The sequence below is a fragment of the Homo sapiens genome, chromosome 5 (genome assembly GCF_000001405.40).
Source record: "Homo sapiens chromosome 5, GRCh38.p14 Primary Assembly".
Classification (NCBI taxonomy): domain Eukaryota; kingdom Metazoa; phylum Chordata; class Mammalia; order Primates; family Hominidae; genus Homo; species Homo sapiens.
This window is the reverse complement of record NC_000005.10, coordinates 110,491,428-110,514,402: the sequence shown is the minus strand read 5'-3', so window position 1 is coordinate 110,514,402 and position 22,975 is coordinate 110,491,428. Positions and strand designations below refer to the sequence as shown.

The 22,975-nt window shown below is 33.8% G+C and overlaps 1 protein-coding gene and 1 non-coding gene across 23 annotated transcripts in view; both read left to right on the top strand.

The window, feature by feature from the left end:
* TMEM232 (transmembrane protein 232) overlaps positions 1-22,975 on the top strand; it is a 351,524-nt gene that overhangs the window by 224,552 nt on the left and 103,997 nt on the right. For 2 of the 22 annotated variants that reach the window (XM_011543563.3, XM_011543557.3), the window contains 2 exons: positions 6,692-6,791; positions 10,741-10,908. The exons of 16 other annotated variants lie outside the window; for them this stretch is intronic. In XM_011543563.3, coding sequence (XP_011541865.1) covers positions 6,692-6,791; positions 10,741-10,754 — 114 coding nt within the window. In that variant the 3' untranslated portion in view covers positions 10,755-10,908. Of the gene's footprint in view, positions 1-6,691; positions 10,011-10,740; positions 16,358-22,975 lie in introns of those variants that run through there. 4 more of the 22 variants (XM_017009706.3, XM_017009705.3, XM_047417494.1 and 1 more) reach the window with 3 other exon arrangements.
* On the top strand, positions 488-574 carry MIR548F3 (microRNA 548f-3). Its single transcript, NR_031644.1, has one exon. It is a non-coding gene; the product is annotated as a microRNA 548f-3 (primary transcript).

Genomic DNA, 22,975 nt, shown 5'->3' with positions numbered 1-22,975 from the left:
ATTTAATTCTTAGTAAGATTGTGATAAATAATAAGTGGAAGGTTTACATTTTTGTGCTTTTTTTTAAGCTATGAATTGCTGCTGGCAACTTTTCAAGAGAACATACGGGTTCATGATGATTTCCTTTTTGGTTATTTTATGTTTCCCTTCCTGCTTCTAGTTATTTAATTAAAAAGCAATTCATTTCTGGTTTTGACTATGCCAGACATGTATTTCGGGGGTATGGTGATAAGACATAGTATGAAAGAAAATGTTGATTGTCAGCATTGCTGGTCACAGTTGTTAGCTGCACAGAAATAAAGAACATTGAATGGTTCTTCAGAGATGGGCTTCTATTTATTGAGCCTTTGTGAAATAATTGAGTTTAAATAAATGGGTTGGATCATTGGCTTAGATCAGTTACTTAAAGTGTTAAAATGCCCAGAGATTGGGAGTGCAGATATTTTTGGCATACTGATTTTATTTCTTCTGAATATGTACTCAAAATATTAGGTTGGTGCAAACCTAATTGCAATTTTTGCAGTTTTTTTAAGTAATTGCAAAAACTGTAATTACTTTTGCACCAACCTAATACAATTGCCGTATCATATGGTAGTTCTATTTCTAATTTATTGAGGAACTTCCATACTATTTTTCATAGTAGACATACCAAGTTACATTTTCACCAATAATGTATAAGCATTCCCTTTTCTCCATATCCCCATCAACACTTATCTTTTGTATTTTGTCTTTTTTAATATGCATCTTGACAAGTATGAGTTAATACCTGTAGTTTTGATTTGCATTTCCCTGATGATTAGTGATGTTGTGAACATTTTCGTATACTTGTCTGTTGGCCATTTGTGTGATTTCCTTGGAAAAATGTCTATTCAGTTCCTTTGTTGACTTTTTACTTGGGTTACTTGGGTTTTTTCCCCTTTTTTGGTGTTCTTGTGTTTTGTTCTTGTTTGGTTTTATTTGATATTAAGTTGTATGAGTTTCTTACATATTTTAAATATTAACCACTTACTGAATATATGGTTTCCAGTTATTTTCTGCCATTCCATAGCTTATCTCTTCACTCTGTTGATTGTTTCCTTGACTTTGCAGAAGTTTTGTTTTTAGTTTAATTCCACTTGTTCATTTTTGCTTTTGTTGACATTGAAGTGCTATTGGAAGCTTAGAGGTTGAATCCAACTCTTAATGCCAGAACTATGCTTCGTACATCGGTTTGTAATATATAACTCAGTTTATCTGCAAACTTGCCTTGGAGATAAATCAATTTCTATCTATCTATCTGTTACATCTTCCCTCCTTTCCTGTCTTTCCATTGGTGAAACAGAACCTTGGTCTGAGCAGGAATTATGGGTGTCATCAATGGGGCAATAGCTTTAGCTTCCACTTTCACTGCCATAGCTTTATGCTTATATGACGAGTGTCTTTCTTTAATACAATCATCAACCCTAGGACTTCTCCATTCATAGTAACATGATGTGATAAAGAATCTTAAAAATAACACAGGTATTAAAATGATCTTGGTGAGATTTAAAAGTATTCTATATTTCAAATACAGATCAGTTAGAATTAAAATGACAGCACTTTGGGAAGATAAAAATAATACAACAGAAAACAAAAACAAGATCTACATGTTTTTGTTTTGTGTTTTGTTTTTTGTGTGCTCTTTGCTCTTTCAAAGAAAGGGGGATTGTTGAGCTTATGATGAAATATTTTTACAGTAGTTAATAAACATGCATTAACTGCTTAATTAGAATGTAAACTTCCTGAAGCGTTCGTATCCAGGGCAGATGTTTTCAGATTTCTGTCCGCCTGTCAGGGAAATTGATGTTTCCAAGTAACTCAGCCTTCTTATAGTGGTCTCTTGCTATGGATTTAAATGTAAGCAAGAAACAGACCTAATAGAGGTGATGTGTTCCTTCAGTAAGCATTAATTGAATACTTCTGTGTGAAGTCATTGTGGTAGGCTCTGGGAATATAAAGAAAAATAAACCATGCCCAACTGCATGATTGATTGGATTCTTGTCTAGAACTACTGCTCGTGACTCTAGCATGTTGGTTGTCCACCAAAAGTTATTTGGAACTTTGCACCCACATAGTTTACTTTTCCATAAGTTTATTTATTCAATAATTATTTATTGAATGCCTAATATAGGCCAGATACTATGAAAGCAAATGTCTCAGATATAGTACTTAATAAAAATTATACTTCTTCCACAATGGAGCTTTCAATAAAATATTGGAGATAGATGTTAATTAAAACCACACATATTCATGTAAAATTACACAAAAAATGTATTAAATCTCTGTAATGATGAGTATGATGGAGGAGAACTACATTGTGTTATGAATAGTGATGTGTCCTGAGGGAGAGGTACATGATGTATGAAGGCATGTACTGGTAGGGAGGGTTCAGGGAAGGGAGGCTATATGCCAAACAGAAGGGACAGAATGTGCAGGTTCCTATGGTGCAAGGGACCATGGAGCATTTAAGGAACTAAAAACCAGTGGTATGGCTGGCTCATGAAGACTACAGAGGGAGAGGTGACTAGGATTTTCCATTTTATCTTAGGAACCGCAATAAGCATTAAATGTGTTTTATGTGGTAGAGTGAGGAGTGGAAGGTAATGAGTATGTGTTTGTGTTTGAGGTTGTGACATAATCAGAGACGTGAAGTACTATAGCTAAGTGACTTTGGTAAGTTAACTTCTCTAAACCTAAATGTCTTCATATGGAAAGTGATGTAATGATAACACCTTCGTTTTAGGTTGCTTATGAGAAATTAGGTAGTCAAGTAAATGTGTTTATTACAGTACCTGGCACTGTAAGCACAAAAAGTTTATTATTATTACATAAATGAATATAGTATAAAATAATCTATAAATATTCCAATATATTAATGTAGTATTATAAGTTGGTATAATAATTATTACTTAATATCATTTTTCTTTTTCTTTTTTTTTTAAATTATACTTTAAGTTCTGGGGTACATGCACAGAGCGTGCAGGTTTGTTACATAGGTATACATGTGCCATGGTGGTTTGCTGTACCCATCAACCCATCATCTACATTAGGTATTTCTCCTAATGCTATCCCTCTCCTTACTCCCCACCCCCACCAGGCCCTGGTGTGTGGTGTTCCCCTCCCTGTGCCCATGTACTCTCATTGTTCAACTCCCACTTACGAGTGAGAACATGCAGTATTTGGTTTTCTGTTCCTTTGTTAGTTTGCTGAGAATGATGGTTTCCAGCTTCATCCATGTCTCTGCAAAGGACATGAACTCATTCCCTTTTGTGGCGGCATAGTAGTCCATGGTGTATATGTGCCAAATTTTCTTTACCTAGTCTGTCATTGATGGGCATTTGGGTTGTCTCCAAGTCTTTGCTATTGTGAATAGTGCTGCAATAAACATACACGTGCATGTGTCTTTATAGTAGAATGATTTATAATCCTTTGCGTATATACCCAGTAATGAGATTGCTGGGTCAAATGGTATTTCTGATTCTAGATCCTTGAGGAATCTCCACACTGTCTTCTACAATGGTTGAACTAATTTACACTCTCACCAACAGTGTAAAAGTGTTCCTATTTTTCCACCTCCTCTCCAGCACCTGTTGTTTCCTGACTTTTTAATGATCGCCATTCTAACTGGCATGAGATGGTATATTATTGTGATTTTGATTTGCATTTCTCTGTGACCAGTGATGATGAGTTTTTTTTCATATGTTTGCTGGCCACATAAATGTCTTCTTTTGAGAAGTGTCTGTTCATATCCTTTTCCCACCTTTTGATAGGGTTGTTTGGTGTTTTCTTGTAAATTTGTTTTGTTATTGCCATTGTTGGCTTTGTTAGTTAGGGAGAACATGAAATATGCCATTCAATATAGCCTGCACTAGATTAGTGGCAATAGAAATGGAAAGGAGATGAATAAACTGCATAATACTTAGAATAAAGAGCAATAGCATTTGGTGATCATTACATATGAAAGGGTGACAGGAAGGAGATGAAAATACCAAAGGTGCTTCTTTTTTTTCCAGGCTGAGCAACTGGTTGAATAGTTGTGTCATTCACTAAGACAAAGAATGATGGAAGAGGACAAGGCAGAGTTGGGGGTAGGAAAAGATTGTGGGTTTGGCTTTGGACATGTTGAATTTGTGGTACTGCTTTTGAGTTCTTTCAGTGGAGATATTAAGTAGGCAGTGAGTTTCAAAATTTTGTAGTTCAGGAAAGAAGCCTGGGCTGTGAGTCATTTGAATAAATGTGACGATTAAAGTCATGGGCACAAGCAACATTTCCTTGGGAAGGAGCACAGTAACATGAGAAACAGGCCTCTGGTAGAATTTTGAGGAATGTCACCATTCAATATATGGAAAAAGGAGAAGGACATAAAAGCAAAAAACAAACCAAGCCTTAGGAACAGCCAGAGAGTTAGAAGAAAATAAAAGAGGATTTATAAAAACTTAAGAAAAATTTATAAAAGATTGTGATAACCTTAAAATATGATATAGTAATGCTTTAAATATTTTAAGTGTATGGAGATGTTGATTTCAAGGACAGATAAAGGCTTTCCTAAAATCTACCCATTCAGATAGTGATAGAATCTTCATTTTTCATTATCCCTGAGCATACATTGTGTTCACTGAATGTAGGTGACAACAGGAGTCATTCCCATATGTGTGTACGATATTTCTAAAGAACTTATAGTAGAAACCTAATAAAACATTTTTGTAAATTGTTTTATTAAATGCATTACATGGGAAGGGCGGTAATATTGTATACCATATATAATGTATATTTATGTATATACAACAGAAATGAATTTATATTCTCTAATAAAACATTTACACATATCAAAATACCAAGAAATCGTGAAGGCAGATTATTACTTAGAAGCAAAATTTAATGGCTTTTCTGATTAATTGACAGGTTTACAGCTGTTTGTAAAATTTTACTAGTCTATCAGACTTTGTTTTGGAGATATGGTCTTGCTCTATTGCCCAGGCTGGAGTGCAGTGGCACAAACATAACTCAGCAGACTCAAACTCCTGGGCCCATGAGATCCTCCTGCCTCTCAGCCTCCTGAGTAGCTAGGAGTACAGGCACACACCACCACACCTAGCTAATTTTTTTATTTTTATTTTTGTACAGACAAAGTGTTGCTGTGTTGCCCTGGCTGATCTCAAACTCCTGGCCTCAACTGGTCCTCCCACCTCAGCCTCCCAAAGTCTTGGATTACAGGCATGAACTACCATGACCAGCCAAAAAAATTTTTTTAAATAAGATTTATGAATTATTTTTGCATATATATGTGTGTGTATACATATATATGCAAAATATATATAATTATATATACATATATACACATATATGTGTGTGTATATATAATTGTATATATATACATATATATATACATATATACACATATATAATTTTATATATATACATATATACACATATATGTGTGTGTGTATATATATAATTATATATATACATATATATAATTTTATATATATACATATATACACATATATATGTGTGTGTGTATATATATATATAATTATATATATATATAATTAGCAGTGGCATTGTGTATTTCCTCAATCAGTTTATCCAATAAACAAAGCATATATGCATATTTAGGGGATTACTCTCTTTCCATAGCACGTTTAGTCCTAGTACTTCCTTTTCATTCGTGAAAGGGAAACAGCACAAACAGCTTGACCAGAAACTTTACATGAAAATGTTCATGTCAAGGGCTACAATGAAATCAGAAGTGTTAGAACAGACTCAAAAGATCCTCTAAGCAGGCTTGAGGCACTCTGCAATATGGACTCCATGAGGAATACTAATGACCAGAAGGAGGGCATGAGGAAGGTACTAGTCAGGAGAAGTGGAGACACCATGACTGTCTAAAAATTGTGTGACATTTATGTTCAAGAATATCTTTATTACCCCTCAAGATATATATGTGTGTGTATGTATATATATAATATGTATTTTATATATATATAAAATTTTGTTTTTATTTCATTTCCTACCTCGTTTTTTAAAGGGTACATCTACATCCAACACTAATCATGCTTTCTATCTTTAATAAATTGTCATATCCATTTATCATTCTGAACAGCTTCCACTTTCAATGCCAACTCTGTCAGTGCAATATATGATCAGTAATTGCTAAGCATCCATCATATCTGAAGTGATATGTCACTAAATTCTTGGCTGTTCACAATAGTTCACTAACCTGAGTCTTGTTGAGCCAGAACTAATGTCAAGTGATCCCCTTGGGGTTTTTTTTCCTTCATGAAACTATTTGCTTAAAGAAAAATGCCTATCTTAAGCGTGGAAATTTTACTAAACCATTTATGTAAGCAAGCCAACATTGTCACAGAGAATTCTGAACACAGTTGGCTGACAAGTCAACCACCTATTAGCATACAGATATCAAGCAAAGAGAGCTTGTGATAAGTAAATCATAGAAAAAAAGTCACATATAGTAATTTTTCTTTGCCTCTTTTCTTGCTGGATTAGAAATGGCATTGCATGCCATGCAGGCAGCAATGATTTTCCAGGTCTCTCTCTAAAGGCTGTGCATTTAAAAAAAATAGAAATCTGACATACTCATCCTCACAAGTTCTCAAATGCCTGAGGGTCTTATTCCAATAATGCTCACTATCTGTCTATAAATTAAATACAGAAAGAAGAACAATACATGGCAAATCTACTTGGCACTCGGACAACTTCCATGATGGAACTATTTCTGGCTGGGAGAGTCAAGCCTGTTAACAGTCAGCAAGGTGATATGGCCCATGGGCTTAGGAGGGGCAATTAACTCCACTCTGAGAACCTGAGAACCTGAGTCACCAATTCTGTGTTCATATTCTGCATATTTGCTTCTGAGGCATTTTAGCCAAGTATGAGTTGGATTAACCCAGGGTAAACTTTCCAGATTTATTATCAGCCTAACGGTATATTGCAGTAGTGGTGGTGAAGATGGTGGAGGTAGAGTAGTTGTGGAAGTGGCAGCAGCAATCATCATCACATTCCCAGTCATCATGTAGCACTTGCTGTCACACAGAATTCTGCATAGAGATGGCCAAAGAATCAACCACACGTTATGCATACTGTTATGAAGCAAGGAGAGGTTGTGACAAGTGCATGCATATCAAAAGAATTAAAAAGTCACACAAAATAATTCACAACCTCTCTTTCCCCTTCCCCTATATTGTTCAGTTTCAGATACTACTCTATTAATAATCCCAATGTTGTGAAAATAGTGAAAAATCTCTAAATTCTGCGTGCTAGAAATCCATCACTATTAAACATGAGCCAAGATAGACCCAGTGAGTAGTAGTACTGTAAATTCTTACACCCCTGGCTCAGTAAGCAGTAACTTTAGCCTTGTATTTCAAAGTTTTAGTACCACTTGGTCAAATATGTTCAGGAGTATGATAAAGTTATAGGCCCAAGAGAGTGGTAATTTGGCTGGAAGACAGAAAAAAAGAAAAATATAATTGCTTTTTTTTGGAGAATATATAGACAGAACACTACATATTTAGGAAATAATATACTTAAATAAATGAAAGTACTAAAAGAGTTTTCAATAAGGAACTTTATCTCCTTCCCACAGTCAGAGATGCATCTAATCCAACCCTGACTCAATGGGTTTCCAATTATCAGAAATGGAAATGATTCAGTGTTTATATGCTCTGTTGCTGAACAAGCCTCACTGTCACAAAGTGATTCCTTATATTTCACCTGTAATTGTAGCTATATGTTACAGCATGAATGAGAATTGGAAAAGAGGGTAGTTATTTTGATTGATGTAGACAGCCAAAGTGGGTAATTGAGACCCCTGAAACTTCCTTTAGGATTTGAATGATCCTATTTGGCTGTCTTGGGGAGTCACAACAGTGGGATAATTACCATATTTTTACTCCAGTGTGTGGACAACTACTTCTAATACTGTTTTCTCAGTCCATTTGCATTTAGATTCTATTGGGGAGTAAAATGGTGAAGGGTGAAATTAACCATAAAATATATTAATCTGTTTGAACTCAAGTAGATTTTAAAAATACTAGATTTAACCATCTGAGGAAAACAGACTTGCCTCCAAAACAAACAAAACAAACAAAAACAACCCCCTAAAACAAAACACACAAAGCCAACAAAAATAACAAAAATTTAAGGTTGGTGGAAAAAAATAGGTCAGTTTAACATCCACTTTTATCCGTAAGGTATGCTAGACAGTTAACTTCTAGTCTTTTGTGTAACTGGTACCACAGAACATTACTGTGGTTATCACAGTCTTGGAAGAAAACTTAGAGAGTTATGGATGGTGAAACTAGCTCAGAGCAATAGACACCCTCTATATTTTAGTGAAAAGAAAATTCAAAGAATTAGATATGCGAGTCTGATTTGGGCCACACCTGTGGACAGCACTGTTGAACTGACCAGGTTCCTTCACTTTTCATACTTCCTTCTCCTCCCCTTGACAAAATTCTGAGTAGACATTTGAATAAAATAACAAAAAAGAAAGGAAATAAAGAAGCATGGTTTCGTTTTGTATAATTATGTGAGTATAGGAATGCCTATTTAGGACAGGGCACAGTGGCTCACGCCTGTAATCCCAACACTTTGGGAGGCTGAGAAGGGCAGATCACTTGAGGACAGGAGTTCCAGACCAGCCTGGCCAACATGGTGAAGCCCCATCTCTACCAAAAAATACACAAAAAAAATTAGGGCGTGGTTGTGCACTTCTGTAGTTCCAGCTGCTCGGGAGGCTGAGGCATGAGAATTGCTTGAACCCAGGTGGTGGAGGTTGCAGTGAGCTGAGATCATGCCACTGCATTTCAGCCTGGGTGACATATCAAGACTCTGTTTCAAAAAGAAAAAAGGAAAAGAAAAGAAAAACAATGTGTATTTCGGACATGTTGGGTACTTTAGAACGATTTTTCTTCCTACTATGGTCAGTGCAAACAATTCAGGTAGCAGATGGTGTTGCTTTTTCTCCTCTGCTCCCCTAACCATCATGATCACCACAAGGACTTGTTCTTAGGCTAAAAGCTGGGGAGTTCACTTCCACCTATGATGGGTCCAAACACATACAGTAGTAGAGAAGGGAGCTATCACCAGTTAAAGAGTCATTCCCACGGAAGAGCCATAGGAGCCCTTTGGTCCAGTGTCCTTCTTGTATTTGTATTTGAGGAATTAAGATTTCACAAGTTTAACTGACTTGTCCTAAGTTCACTCAGGAGTTAGGGAGCTGGGAATCAGAGTTAGTATAAGAACTCAAGATGTCTTCTCTTCCAGTTTGGTTATGGAAAACTCCCATAATTTTCAAAGAGATGTAGCAACACTCTAATGGTTAAAAGCGACACTCCTGGGAGGAAAGAAGGTATACATGAATAAGAATTAACTTCATTGTTAATTTTTTTGAGGAAAAATAGTTTCTTGTATGAAAATAAGTGCCCTGTCATATTTATGTGACAATGTGATGGCTAATTTTATGTGTCAACTTGCCTGGGCATTAGGGCATACAAGTATTTGGTCAAACATTACTATGGGTGTGTCTGTGAGAGTGCTGTTAGATGAGATCAACATTTGAATTAGTAGACTGAGTAAAGCAAGTTGCCCTTCCTAATTTGGGTGGCCCTTGTCCAATCAGTTGAAGGTCTGAATAGAACAAAAAGGCTAACCCTTCTGTGAGTAAAGCAGAACTCCTCTGCCTGACTGGGTAAGCTGGGACATCAGTCTTTTCTTGTCTTCAGACTCGAATTGAAACAGACTCTTGGGTCTTCAGCCTGTGAGCTTTCAGACTGGAACTATACATTGGCAATCCTGGGTCTCTAGCTTGCCAACTGCAGATCTTGGGAATTATCAGCAGCCTCTACAATCACATGAGTCAATTCCTCTCTCTATGTATATACATGTTTGTTTACACCTACTCATATCCTGTTGGTTTTGTTTCTTTGGGGAATTCTGAATAATAAAGGCAATTTTTGTATTATTTTCAATTCTGCAGCTTTGCTGTCTTCTATTCCCGTATCAGCATCTCTCTTTGAAAGCACGATATTTAAAATTTACAAGAAAACCACTTTCCTCTGCTCAAGTAGCTATATTAAAATATGTCCTCTATATTTATGTTTTTCCTGATTGGTGTTCCACAGCTCTACATCTCAAAGCAGAGTTTTAATAGAGGATTGTGAAATGCTCATATTTAAGATGAAAACTAGTAAAAAATCTGCAGTAATTAATTAAAAGTATACTGTCTAAAGTGATTATTATATTTAAAATAGAGAAATAACTATGTTCATTTATAGCTGTACACATAAATCCTGTGCCATGCTTACAAATTAGCTGATTGATTCAGGCTCATAAACTGCCAAGATAGTCCAAGGAATACATTGTCTGATTTTGAACAACACACAAAGGGAAGAAAGAAAAAAGAGACATATGCAAATAACCAATTATTCCATGTCCTTATAGAATTTTAAGGGTCAGATCCTTGGGGACAGAAAAGTCAAGGCATCATTGTCCTCTAAAAAAGTCACACAGCTCCATTTTATGCACAGTCATTTCATAACCACTCAAATTAGTGTTTTTAAAGCAGAAGGTAAGGTGAAGGAGAAACATTTACTACAAATTCAGCAAATGTTTAAGACTTGCTGTGTATAACAGGGATAGTAATGGGCTTATGGAAAACAAAGATCTTGTTTAAATTAATCCCATGGAATTTCAACCTAGGCAAACCTGAGTAGAGGAGGCTCTGGATGCACATCGCTGCAGCATCTGGATGAAAAGTGGAATCAATCATTCCTTAATCCAGTTAGTGAGGTTCATAATGATAAACATTTTACGTTGGTCTCTGGTGGTCCCTCAGCACCCTGATCTTCCCTTCGGTACTATACTCAGGTATGCAACTATCTACATTTGTTTTAATTTAAGTGGATTTATAAATATTTCAAATTTAACATATCTGAAATTGAACTCATCTCCCTTCCTCTCACCCAAACCTGCCCACCTCATTATTTTCTCAGTAAATTGAAAATTCATTCTTGGATTAACTCAGATATTAAAATCATCTTTGACTCTATATCACCTATATTACACATTCAATCTGTCAGACAATCATGTAGTTGTTACTTTCCAAATATTTCTAAAATCAGGTCACTTTTCACTACTTCCACTGTTTTCACATGATTTGAAAAAGAAGAAAACAAATTGACATTGGAGACAAGACAGTCTAGCTGTCAGAGTGGCTTCTGTTAAGCTTTGGGATCATAGTAAAAATAATAAGCTAAACATAACTGAAATCTCTTCTGTAGGCTAGGCACCATGCTAACTAGAGATATGGTGACAAACAAGAAAAATATGCTCCCCAACTTTACATAGCTTATAACCTAAAAAAGGTAACAGATAAATCAATAAGCAACCGAAGTAATTACAGATTGTTTTAAGTCCCATGATTGAAATTAACCAGATGATAATAATGAAAGTAATTGAAGAATTCTACTTCAGATAGCCAGGAAAGATCTCTTTGAGGAAAGGATTTTTAAGTGGAGGCCTGCTGGAAGAGAATGAACTTGCTTTGTGAAAAAGAGTGTAGACATACGGTACAGGCAGAGGGAACAGTGAGTACAATGCCCAAATGAAGGAAGGGGCTCACTTGCCATGTGCAGTTCTAAAAACGTGGGCAATGTGGCTACCGGGTAGTGAGTGAGGGGAAAGTGGAAGGAGGTGAGGTTCGCATATTGAAGCCAGACCATGTAGGGCTCATACATCCAAATGAGGAGTTCCAGTTATATTCTAAGTGCAAAGGGAAGTCACTGGAGGGTTTTAACCAGGAGGAGTGACAAGAGCCAATTTGCCTATTAAAGAGAAAGGATCATGGTCTAAAGGTGAAGGCTGAGCTAAACTGATGTTTCTTTTATTCCTTTTATTTCCCCTTCAAGATTTAAAACTGGTCTTGAAAATGACCTAGGTTTATACTAATTATTGAAAATTCCTTTGCTAAAACTTGTCCTTCTACTCAGTGACTGAAAAATTTGTCCTTCCCACTCGGTGACTGAAATTTCAGTTTGCATCTTTAGCCCTGTGATTTGTCAGCCCTGGTTTCAGTCCCTGGAACTGCAGAAATTCCCTGGCAAACCATTACTAGCCTCATGAGGACAACACTTGACCAATGCATTTGATGGGATTGGAATCATAAGACTTGAGGAACATTTATGAAATGACATCCATATTTTTAAATTACAACATTCCTAAAAGATCAGACTCTTGAAGTTTCCCTTTAATAATCACACACATACTCTATGGAGGAGTTTATAACAAACAAAACAAAACCAAAAACAGACAGAAACACTTAGAAAAAAGATATTTGCTATCCCCAAAATAACAATATTTCTGTGATAATCATCTCTTTTCCTTATTATCACAAAATTTCTAGTAACAAACAATTCAATATAATTATATTAAAAACTCGGCAAAACTAAGCAACATTTCACTTCCCTACAAGATTAGACCTAAGTGAATTAGGTAATCATGGGAGAGCTCTTTCCCACTTCTGATGGTGCTTGTTTTCCACAAACCACCTCTTTTACACTTTGATAGCTTCAACCAGTGATTTTTGAGGTATTTGTTTAAAATGTCTTAGGGGTTATTTCCATAGTGAACATTTTGTGGAGATCTCTTGAAGGCCCAAAAGCTATTAACCCAACAGAATAAATGTGAATGGGAAAATTCCAGGAATATAGCCAGTTAATGTGGGGTTATTTGGGACCTGCGAGTTATTTCTCCTTTTCTTAAATTCTACCAACCTATGAGAACCTTTAAAATGGTCACCTATGCTGCATTCATCTTAAGGCTACACTTGAGTGCAATAAATTTGTCTCCTGAAAAGTTATCCTGTAACTTTGTAATGTAGGCACTCAAAAGTTTTTATTCTTTATTATACTTAAAATGACAACTTAATTTCTTCTTAAGGGTTATATAACATTATAAGGATAAAATATAATTATTATAATAAGACTAATTAGTATTTACATTCTACTTTTCTCTTACAATTCCTTTATAAACAGAAGTTAATTAATAGCTTAGATGCCAATATTATCTCTTCAAAGAGGTTAATGCATCAGATTAGAATTTGTTTTTAGCCCAAGTGCTTCTTCAGCATTTGTATTTGGTGCAGCTTAGTACCAGGGAAGGCAGTTATTTTTCTTTTCTGTTGTTCTATAAGAAAGTAAAAAGTGTTTGGACCACTTGTTACACCCATTTTTGCTTGCTGGAGCCATGGAAACAATGGGAAGAATGTCACTTTCTTTGGGGAAAACATTTTAGTGGAGTGTCATGAATAAATTTATTCTAGAAATAAAATGCACATTCCTTAAAAAAAGTGAAGAAGATTTTGCAAACAAACCACATCATTTTGTATCTTGCATTTTGACCAGTTCATAAAGGTATAGAAAGGTGGTCAAAGCTTTTTGCATAGTGGAAGAACTATTTATATATCTAGATGAAAACCTAAAGCTTTACATTTTCACAACACAAATTTTCTTGTCATTTCAGCTCTGTAAGTGGCTGTTCCAGACCCATGATGATGTAACAAGTCTGCTATACTGAATTGTAAACGTAGATTTTAACCTAGCCTAACCCTTAGACCTTGAAAATATTTATTGTGAAAATTTGCTGTCATTATTCCATAGTTATTGCTTTTTTCCCTTATATTATTGTCTTTTATTTATTTTTCCTTCCATTTAGTTTGGATATACTTTGTTTCCTTTTCTAGCTTTTTAAGGTGGAAACTTAGATCATTGAATTAAAAACTTATTCATTTCCTCATATACATCTTCACTGCTATAAATTTCCCTCTAAACTCTGCTTTGAGATGTTGTATTTTTATCATAACTCAGTAAAATATTTAATTTTCTTTGTAGTTTCTTATTTGACTCATGGTCATTGAAAAGTATGTTTTAACTTTCCAAATATTTGGACATTTTAAGCTGTCATTTTATTCACATCAAATTTAATTCCATTCTTATTAGAGGTTATACTTTGTAAAATTTCAATTAAAAATTAAACTTTTTCAGTTTTTCTTTCTTTCTTTTTTTTTTTTTTTTTTTGAGACAGAGTCTTGCTCTGTCACCCAGGCTAGAGTGCAGTGGCGCAGTCTCGGCTCACTGCAACCTCCACCTGTGTTCAAATGATTCTTCTGCCTCAGCCTCCCAAGTAGCTGAGATTACAGGCACCCGCCACCACACCTGGCTAATTTTTGTATTTTTACTAGAGACAGGGTTTCACTAAGTCGGCCAGGCTGGTCTTGAACTCCTGACCTTAGGTGTCCCACCCGCCTCAGCCTCCCAAAGTGCTGGGATTACAGGCGTGAGCCACCGCGCCTGGCCAATAATTAAACCTTTAAAATGTTCTAGCATTTGGCCTATATTAGTAAATGCTCTAGGTACACTTTGCAAAGGCTATGCATTCTGCAGTTTTGTGTGTTGTTCTATATGTCAAATTAGGACAAAGTAGTTGATAGTATAATTAAATATTCTCTATATTGACTATATTTTAAAATTTTATCGATTAAAGAGGATTATACAAATGTTGAACTATAGTTGTAGATTTGACTATCACCTTTTTGTTCTGTCAAACACTTGAAATACATCTTTTTAATTCTGGTAATATCCCTTGTCTGAAACTCTACTTGGTCTGATATTAATATTTCCATACTAATTTTTAATGCTTATCTTTATATATATATATATGTGTGTGTGTGGGGGGGGGTGTATACATATATTTTTCCCCTCTCTTTTCCTTTCACCTTATCTATGTCTTTTAATTTAAAATGTATCTCTTGGCCAGGCGTGATGGCTCATGCCTGTAATCCTGGCACTTTGGAAGGCTGAGGCAAGAGGATCACTTGAGCCTAGGAGTTCTAGACCAGCCTGGCAACATAGCAAGAACCTGTCTCTACAAATAAAATTTTTAAAAGATTAGCCAGGCATGGTTGCATGTGCCTGTAGTCCCTGCTACTCGTGAGGTTCAGGTGTGAGGATCAGGCCTCTGCACTCAGCCGGGGTGTCAGAATGAGACTCTATCTCAAAGAAAACAAAAAGTACATCTTGTAGACAACAGGCTTTATTAAAAGTCTAGTTTGGCATTCTGTTTTAATTGGAATCCTTAATGTAAAATTTACTATGATTGAGCTTATATAAATTTTTCTGCTTTTTTCCTATGTGTTGCATCTCTTCATCCCCTGCTCTTTCTCCTTTTCTATCTTATTTTGCATTAATGAAATGTTTTGCTATTCCATTTTATTTTCTTTATTGCCCCCCTTTTTGGTCATACCTCTATTTTATTTTATATTTAGCAGTTGTTTAAGGTATTACTGTAAGCATCCTCAAGATATCAAAGCCTCCTTATTATTGTATCATATCATATGTAAGAACATTGTAGAGACTTTGGATTCCAGTAACTCCGTGAAGAGTTATGACTTTAGTTATAGCTAGCAATTTAATTTTTGGCTGATCTTGAACTTACAGAGCTTTTATTTTCACTTCATTAGGAGGGTCTTTTTAGTTTAGCTTTTAGTCTTAGGAAAAATCCCTTAGTTATAGAAAGTCCTGCTTTCTGGGACTTGCTCTGTTAATTTCCATCTGCTCTAGAAAACACAAACTTCTCTGACACCTAAAGCAATACACTTGTAAGTTTCCCCTTGAGTATTAGCCATTCTGCATATGGGAAGACTTTAGTGTTCCCTTAAGTGAAGTCACATAAATGTTTATGTTATCACCCAGTTGCATTCCCTTTCTTTCAAGAATTCAATCCCCTTCAATTTCTGCCTACTTTTGGTTGCTCTCCAGTGCATTAAATAGTTAACTTTTATATTTTATCCAGAGTTTATCACCTCTGGAAGGGTAATTCAAATTAAGCTACTTTCATTCTTGGTACTAGAATTGGGAAAATGATTATTTTTAATGTTAAGGCTCCCATGTGAAAATAGCTGAGGAAGATTCTGATCCAGATAGGGCTTAGCAAGTCATGTAGTCTAAATATGCACAGCCTCTGTTCAGTGAGATGATTAGTTTGTTTTTGTTTTTATTTTGATCAATTCCATCCTCAGTTTCTTTATTCTTATTTTGAATTAAATGAGGCAGCTACAGGGAATAGTTTATTGACTAAAGTAGACATTGTAATTTTCTTCTTGAACTTCTTGAACTTTAATACAAAGTTCATTTTATAATATTAGGGAGTATAAATGCTTCCAGATTTGGGATACTTTATTTTACATATACATTACATGATTTCCCATGCTTATTTGAAGAGTCTTTAACTTAGGTTTGATAAAATAAATGCATTTAAACTGTTATGAGGCATTAAAAGTATTAACTGTCTTCATTTATTTTCTATCTTCTGTTATAATTCCCTCCACTTTGTCTTGTACGACCCATATCCAAGGGCTGCATATTCAAATTAATACTTGAGTGACATAGAATTAGATTCTTTAGAGTCCAAAAGATGAAGTAAAATATTTTTTCTCTAAAATTGGGAGTATCAGATGGCCTCATCCAATCACTTAAATTTGTTCTCATTCCCTTCACTTTATCTTATATGACCCATATCCAAGGGTTACATATTCAAATTAATACCTGGAGGCATAGAAAAATACCATAAGTGTGTAAAGCAGGCCAGGTGGGGGAAACATCAGAAAGTTCTACGTATTGAGGTACACTGGAGAAAGCATGGAGTATATCAAGGGTCAACCTCACTAGCTTTTGCCATTTAGGTGCTATGAGCCATTGTTGTCAGATCTGCTCTTCCAAGAGAAGCTGAAAATATGGATTTTTGTGTGAAATTTCCTTATTAAAATATCCTTCAGGTCAAATAGAACATGTTTGATTGGTATACAAAGCCCCTGTCTTTATTTGTTTGTTTGTTTCCATCACTGGTTAGTCTTCCATTTGTATATTCTCTCTTATTCACTTTGAATGCTCTTTTATGCAAGTCTACCCAAATCCTGTTATCTGTATTCAATTCAAGTTCCATGTCTCCACAAAGCTGGTGAGTCTTCTAGTCCTCATTGTTCATCTTTGCCTTCTGTGAAATCTATAATAATTATAGATTAGAAAACATTTTATCATGTAATTTTATTGCCCTTTTATACTGAGGTGTGCTTCAGTTCCCAACATCTTTTCTTTATTTCTGCCATAGGTTTTCAATACTCATTTATTAATGTATGGTTGGTATTGCTCATAAGGTTTTTTTAAAGTGTCAGGGAACGTGAAAGTATGGAACGTTTATTGATTTGGAGGAGACCATAGATATATCTGATCCAAATTCCTTATCTGACAGATAAGGAAACTAAGACCCACTAAGTCAATTGATTTACTATTGATCAGTCAGAAAGTAAATCACCAGATCCTAGGAATTTAATTCCTTTTTCTGTTTGTTTCCACCAAATACAGCACTCTGTAGATTTAAGAAAAAGTACTTTTTCATTCAATACCAAAATATGGATTTATTTTGTTTCTTCCTCTGTGTTCTCTCTTCTTAGTGTAGCTGAGTGACATAGAATTATATTCTTTAGGATCAAACAGATAAAGTAAAATATTTTTTTCTCAAAAATTGGCAGTATCAGATGGCCTCATCCAACTACCTAAATTTGGTAAAGGGAAAGATTTATAAATCAGCCTAACTCTGTTGTTTCCAAGATTTTGATTTTATGGTATCTGTTTCTCCTTATGAGCCTTGCGGACAAAGAGGTATCCTGGTTATGAAAGAACCGCATGTGTCCTCTCATCTGAGACATCTGTTCTCTCTTCTCTCATAAATTCTTAAACAGAATGAAATTTTATTAAGAAAATTATAGCATTGCTATAATTGGCATATATTCCACATTTGTCTGCATTTACCTTTTGAATGTAGTCATTATACCACACGATGGCATCCTAAAACAATTTCTATAAATGCAACATTGAAATAAAAATGTAAGACATTACAGATATGAAAATTACGTTATTCTAATTTCAAAATCTAGATGAGTAATAGTGTTCATGAGCTTCATTACATTAAAATTTTGCAGCTTCTATGCAAGGAGCTTGATATGAAAAAGTAACACTTGTTTTTATGAAATAAAACTGCATTAACGATCATTTTAAGTTATTAAAGAGCTTAGATATTGTACAAGTAAATTCAGTATACCTAACTTTCAGCACATGTACAACGAAAATCTTCTTGAAATAACCTACAAAATAAAACTATCACAATAATTGTAAAATTCATTAACAAAACCTCTACATTTTCAATAATTTGTGAGTGAAAATTTTTATTATAATTTTGTGATTTGAATGCAATTTTCCCAAGAAATTACAGGATTGAATTATAAATAACTATATCTAACTTGAAAAATAATGCAAAAAGTAATAATAATAATGCCTCTGTGCATGAAATGCTTATTTTGTTTTATTATTTCTTTGTCAGTATGAATGGTTCTTCTTTACTAGCAAAGCAAGTGAACATTTCTTTTTTATTTAATGAATATTTGTATTATTCAATTGATATTTAATAATAGAATTATCATTATTAAAAAAAAACCAGAAGATCACTTTCATTTTAGTTCTAGTAACTATAAAGTTTACAAATGTGACATTAAGTTAATGACATTCATTTTGTTTATTTTCATAGTATCTCAGCAATGTCTGTGTTTATTTCCTGGAGTCAAAGAAAATATTTTATTCAATTTTGGTTTGTATTTATTGTTATACTAATATGTGTTCTGACCTCGTCTAGTTTTTTTGGACTAGAGAATCATAATTTTTATATCTGTAAAGCCTTATGTTTTCATTTCAACATTCCCATAGTACAAAATAGGACATTTGGGGTAAATATAATATTTCATTTAATCAAGATGTATGTTTTCATTTTGTTCTTTCAACCAAGACAGATCGTCTCTGAAACATTATTTTAAAATAGATCAACTGTTATTATACTTTATTGCACATTAGAACTACCTGGGATAACTTTAAAAAATCCTGATGTTGAGATCCTTCCCCAGTCCAATTAAATCAGACACCCTGGAAGTGTAATCTTGGCATCATTATTTTAAAACTCCCTTAGGTGATTGCAGTATACAGCCAAGATTGAGAACCACTGGAATAGAGGAAAGGAGAATGTTAACATATATAGATAAGGCGGAGCTACTTTAAACCACAGATCTCTCCTTTTATTTGCTGCAATCTTCTAAAATTACTCAATTTTTGAGGCTTCTATTTATTTTATATAATATTTAATATATAAAAATATGTGCAACATAAAATGAAGTTATGAAGTTTAATTAAAATAACAAATACTTAGAAGCCTACCATATAACTTCAAAACTAAAAATTATCCACAATTCCATTCTCCTACTGCTTTCATAGTTCTAATTCCATTATCCCAAATTTGTTTATCTTTCACTTATTTTTGTAAGAATACTTATAATAAGTATATGTTTCCATGAGTAGCTTATTATCTAGTCTAGCTTGATAATTGCTTTATATAAATAATACTATATGTAGTATTCAGAAGTTCTAATTATTTTTGATTAATCAATATTATGGTTCAGGTATTCTCCCACGTTATACATAGTTATAGTATTAAATTATTTTCATAGAGGTATATTTTATTGTGTGAATATCCTATAAGGTATTTTTCAGTGTCTCTGTCAATGGACATTCAGGATTTCTTTTTAGTTTTTGTTATTGAAACAAAGTTGTGATGAATGCTTTTATACAGACTCCTGGTGACATATGGCACTGTTTTTCTAGACTATACCTAGGAGTAGAATGTCTGGGTCACAGGATATATGCATGTATAAATTTAAAGGTAATGCTATTTCCCTCCCTGCACTCTGAATGGTTGTATTGATTTATACTCTCATCAGCATTTATAAGACTTCCCATTGTTCCACATACTCATCAACATGTAGTACTATAGAACTGGTTATTTTTGGCAATCTAGTGGGTAAACAAAAATAGTTCAGTGTAATGATTTTTTAATGGGTTTCATTATTTTCATATACTTATTTCCCTATTGTGTAACTTCTGGAATATCTATTCTTTTCATTTGCACATATTTTTGGCTTATTTATTTTATTGATTGAATTATAATTTGGCTTTTTATATTTGTTATGCTGTTTTATGATCATTTATGAAGTTTTATGGTTTTAATGAGGTTGAACTTAATACTTATTGGCACAATGCCCATCAATGACAGACTGGATAAAGAAAATGTAGCACGTATATACCATGGAATACTATGCAGCCATAAAAAGGGTGAGTTCATGTCCTTAGCAGGGACATGGGTGAAACTGGAAACCATCATTCTCAGCAAACTAACACAAGAACAGAAAACCAACACCGCATGTTCTGAGTTGGACAATGAGAACATATGGACACAGGCAGGGGAACATCACACACTGGGGCCTGTTGTGGGTGGGGGGCTAGGGAAGGGATAGCATTAGGAGAAATACCTAATGTAGATGACAGGTTGATGGGTGCAGCAAACCACCATGGCACGTGTATACCTATGTAACAAACCTGCATGTTCTGCACATGCACCCCAGAACTTAAAAGTATTAAAAAAAAAAAGATATTTGGCACAATTAAGCAATCCTTCCTCATACCTATATCATAAAAAATATGTGTCTGTACTTTTTCCCAAGAGCTTAAAAAGTTTGCTGCTCATATTTAAGCCATTAAAAGACTTGAAGTCATGGCATTCCATAGAAATCTAAGGTTATTTTTTCCATAAGAGTAGCCAATATTTACACACCATTTATTGACAATTGTTCATTCACATTGATCAGCCAATGCCATATATATTGCATATCAAATTTCCATGTAGAATAATGGCCTTCATATGGGCTCTCTGCTTTGTCCCATTTGTGAATGTATTAATTTCTATGTTAATATCATGTCATTTTAGTTATTTACTTCAATTTTATAGTAAGTCTTTATAATTTGTAAGACAATTTTACTTTTTTTTTTTTTCAATGTCTTGGCTATTGACCCGTGTAATCTTCTGTACACATTTTGGAATTAGACTGGTGTTTCTTGAAATAGCTTTTAAGGATTCTGATTTAAATTGCATTAAATTTATTAATTAATTTTGGAAAATTTTCTCCTTTATGATACTAAGTTTTCATCTCTAGGAACATGGTGTTTTTTCATCAAATTATAAATTTCAAAATAAATTTTTTAAAAAGTTTTAAGATTTCCTTCATAAGGATTAGCTTATGCTGGGGGGATTTAATTCTAATTTTTTTTCTTGTATGGGTGTTTTGTTGTTGTTGTTTACAAATTGTCATTATAAAAAATTTAGGACAGGTAGAAAAGTAGAGAATGTATTATAATTTATCCCCTTTTCTATGACTCCTGGCTTTAATAGTTATCAATCATAGCACATCTTGTTTTATGTGTACTGCCTCTCATTCTCTCTCACCAACCCCTACATCATTTTGAGGTAAATCCCTGACATTATATCATTTAACTTATAATCAGTAAATGTGGCTTCAAAAATTTTTAAGTGTCTTCTAAGAGTTGCAAATGCATAAAAGATAATATATTTTGGTCTAATTACCTTATATATAATCAATTTTCTAGAATCTCTAATATCTCTCTGTAGAGTATTGGTTCTTAGTGAAATTTGTGACTAATGAGAATGTGTTATTCTTCCTTTCAAATATTTAGAGCATGTTTTTCTTGACTCACCACATATTTGGGTACTATATTAAATTTTGAATGGAAGCAATAATAGTGTCTTTTTTCCTAATGTAAACAGAATGGTTTGAACCTTTTGACATAAGAATAGTTGTAGTATTTTGGTAGATGTGATTTGTCAGAATATGAAGTAATCTTTAGTTTTTAGTTAACCATGATGTCTTATCATGAATAGTGATTTAATTTTATCAAATCATATTATCCATTAATAAGATATATTTTTAAAATTTTTGATTCGTTATGTAACATTTGATGACACTAACACTCCTGGTAAAACTCCAAATTGGTAAAGATGTTTTATTTTCCTAATTGTTACCATATTCAGTTTACTTATGTTTTGTTACATTTTGCATTTATGTGCATGTATAAGATTACCCTGTAATTTTCCTTTCTGTTAATAATATTATGTGCTTTTATTATCTAAGATATTCTTTTTTTAATTTTATTATTATTATACTTTAAGTTTTAGGGTACATGTGCACAATGTGCGGGTTTGTTACATGTGTATACATGTGCCATGTTGGTGTGCTGCACCCATTAACTCGTCATTTAGCATTAGGTATTATTCTCTCAAGGTTTTTGTACAATTGGAATGATCTGTTTTTTTTGCATGTTTGCTGGCAATTGTCTGTATGATTGCACTGAAGTATTTTTAGTTAATAGGAATATTATAAATTGCTTCTTAATTTTTTAAGTAATTTGTCTATTTTGTTTAGACTGAAATTTATTGATATATAATGGTTATAGTAATCTCTATTTATAATTTATTTTAATCTCTATTACTTTTTTCCTTCATAGTATTACTTACTTTTCCCATATTTCAAATTTGTTTACTTTAAAAATCTCACCAAAATAATATTTTAAATCTTTGCAGAGGGCCAAATTTTGATTTTATTCCTCGTCTTTAACCTTGTTTTTTAGTTTATTTAATTTCTGCTCTCACTTTTACAACCTCCTTCCATCTAATTTGAATTAATGGAAGGTTTCTAAAAAGATGAAATATAATTCATGTACCACAAAATATATCTCAATTCAGTACTTTTTTAGTATATTAAAACAATTGTATAACTACTACCTCAACCTAATTTCAGATTATTTTGATTAATCTAAAATGAAATCTTTTACCATTAGGAAATATTCTCCAATTCTTCTCTTCCCCCAGTCCCTGGCAGCCACTCATCTACTTTCTTTTCTGTGGATTTGCCTATTCTGGACATTTTACATAG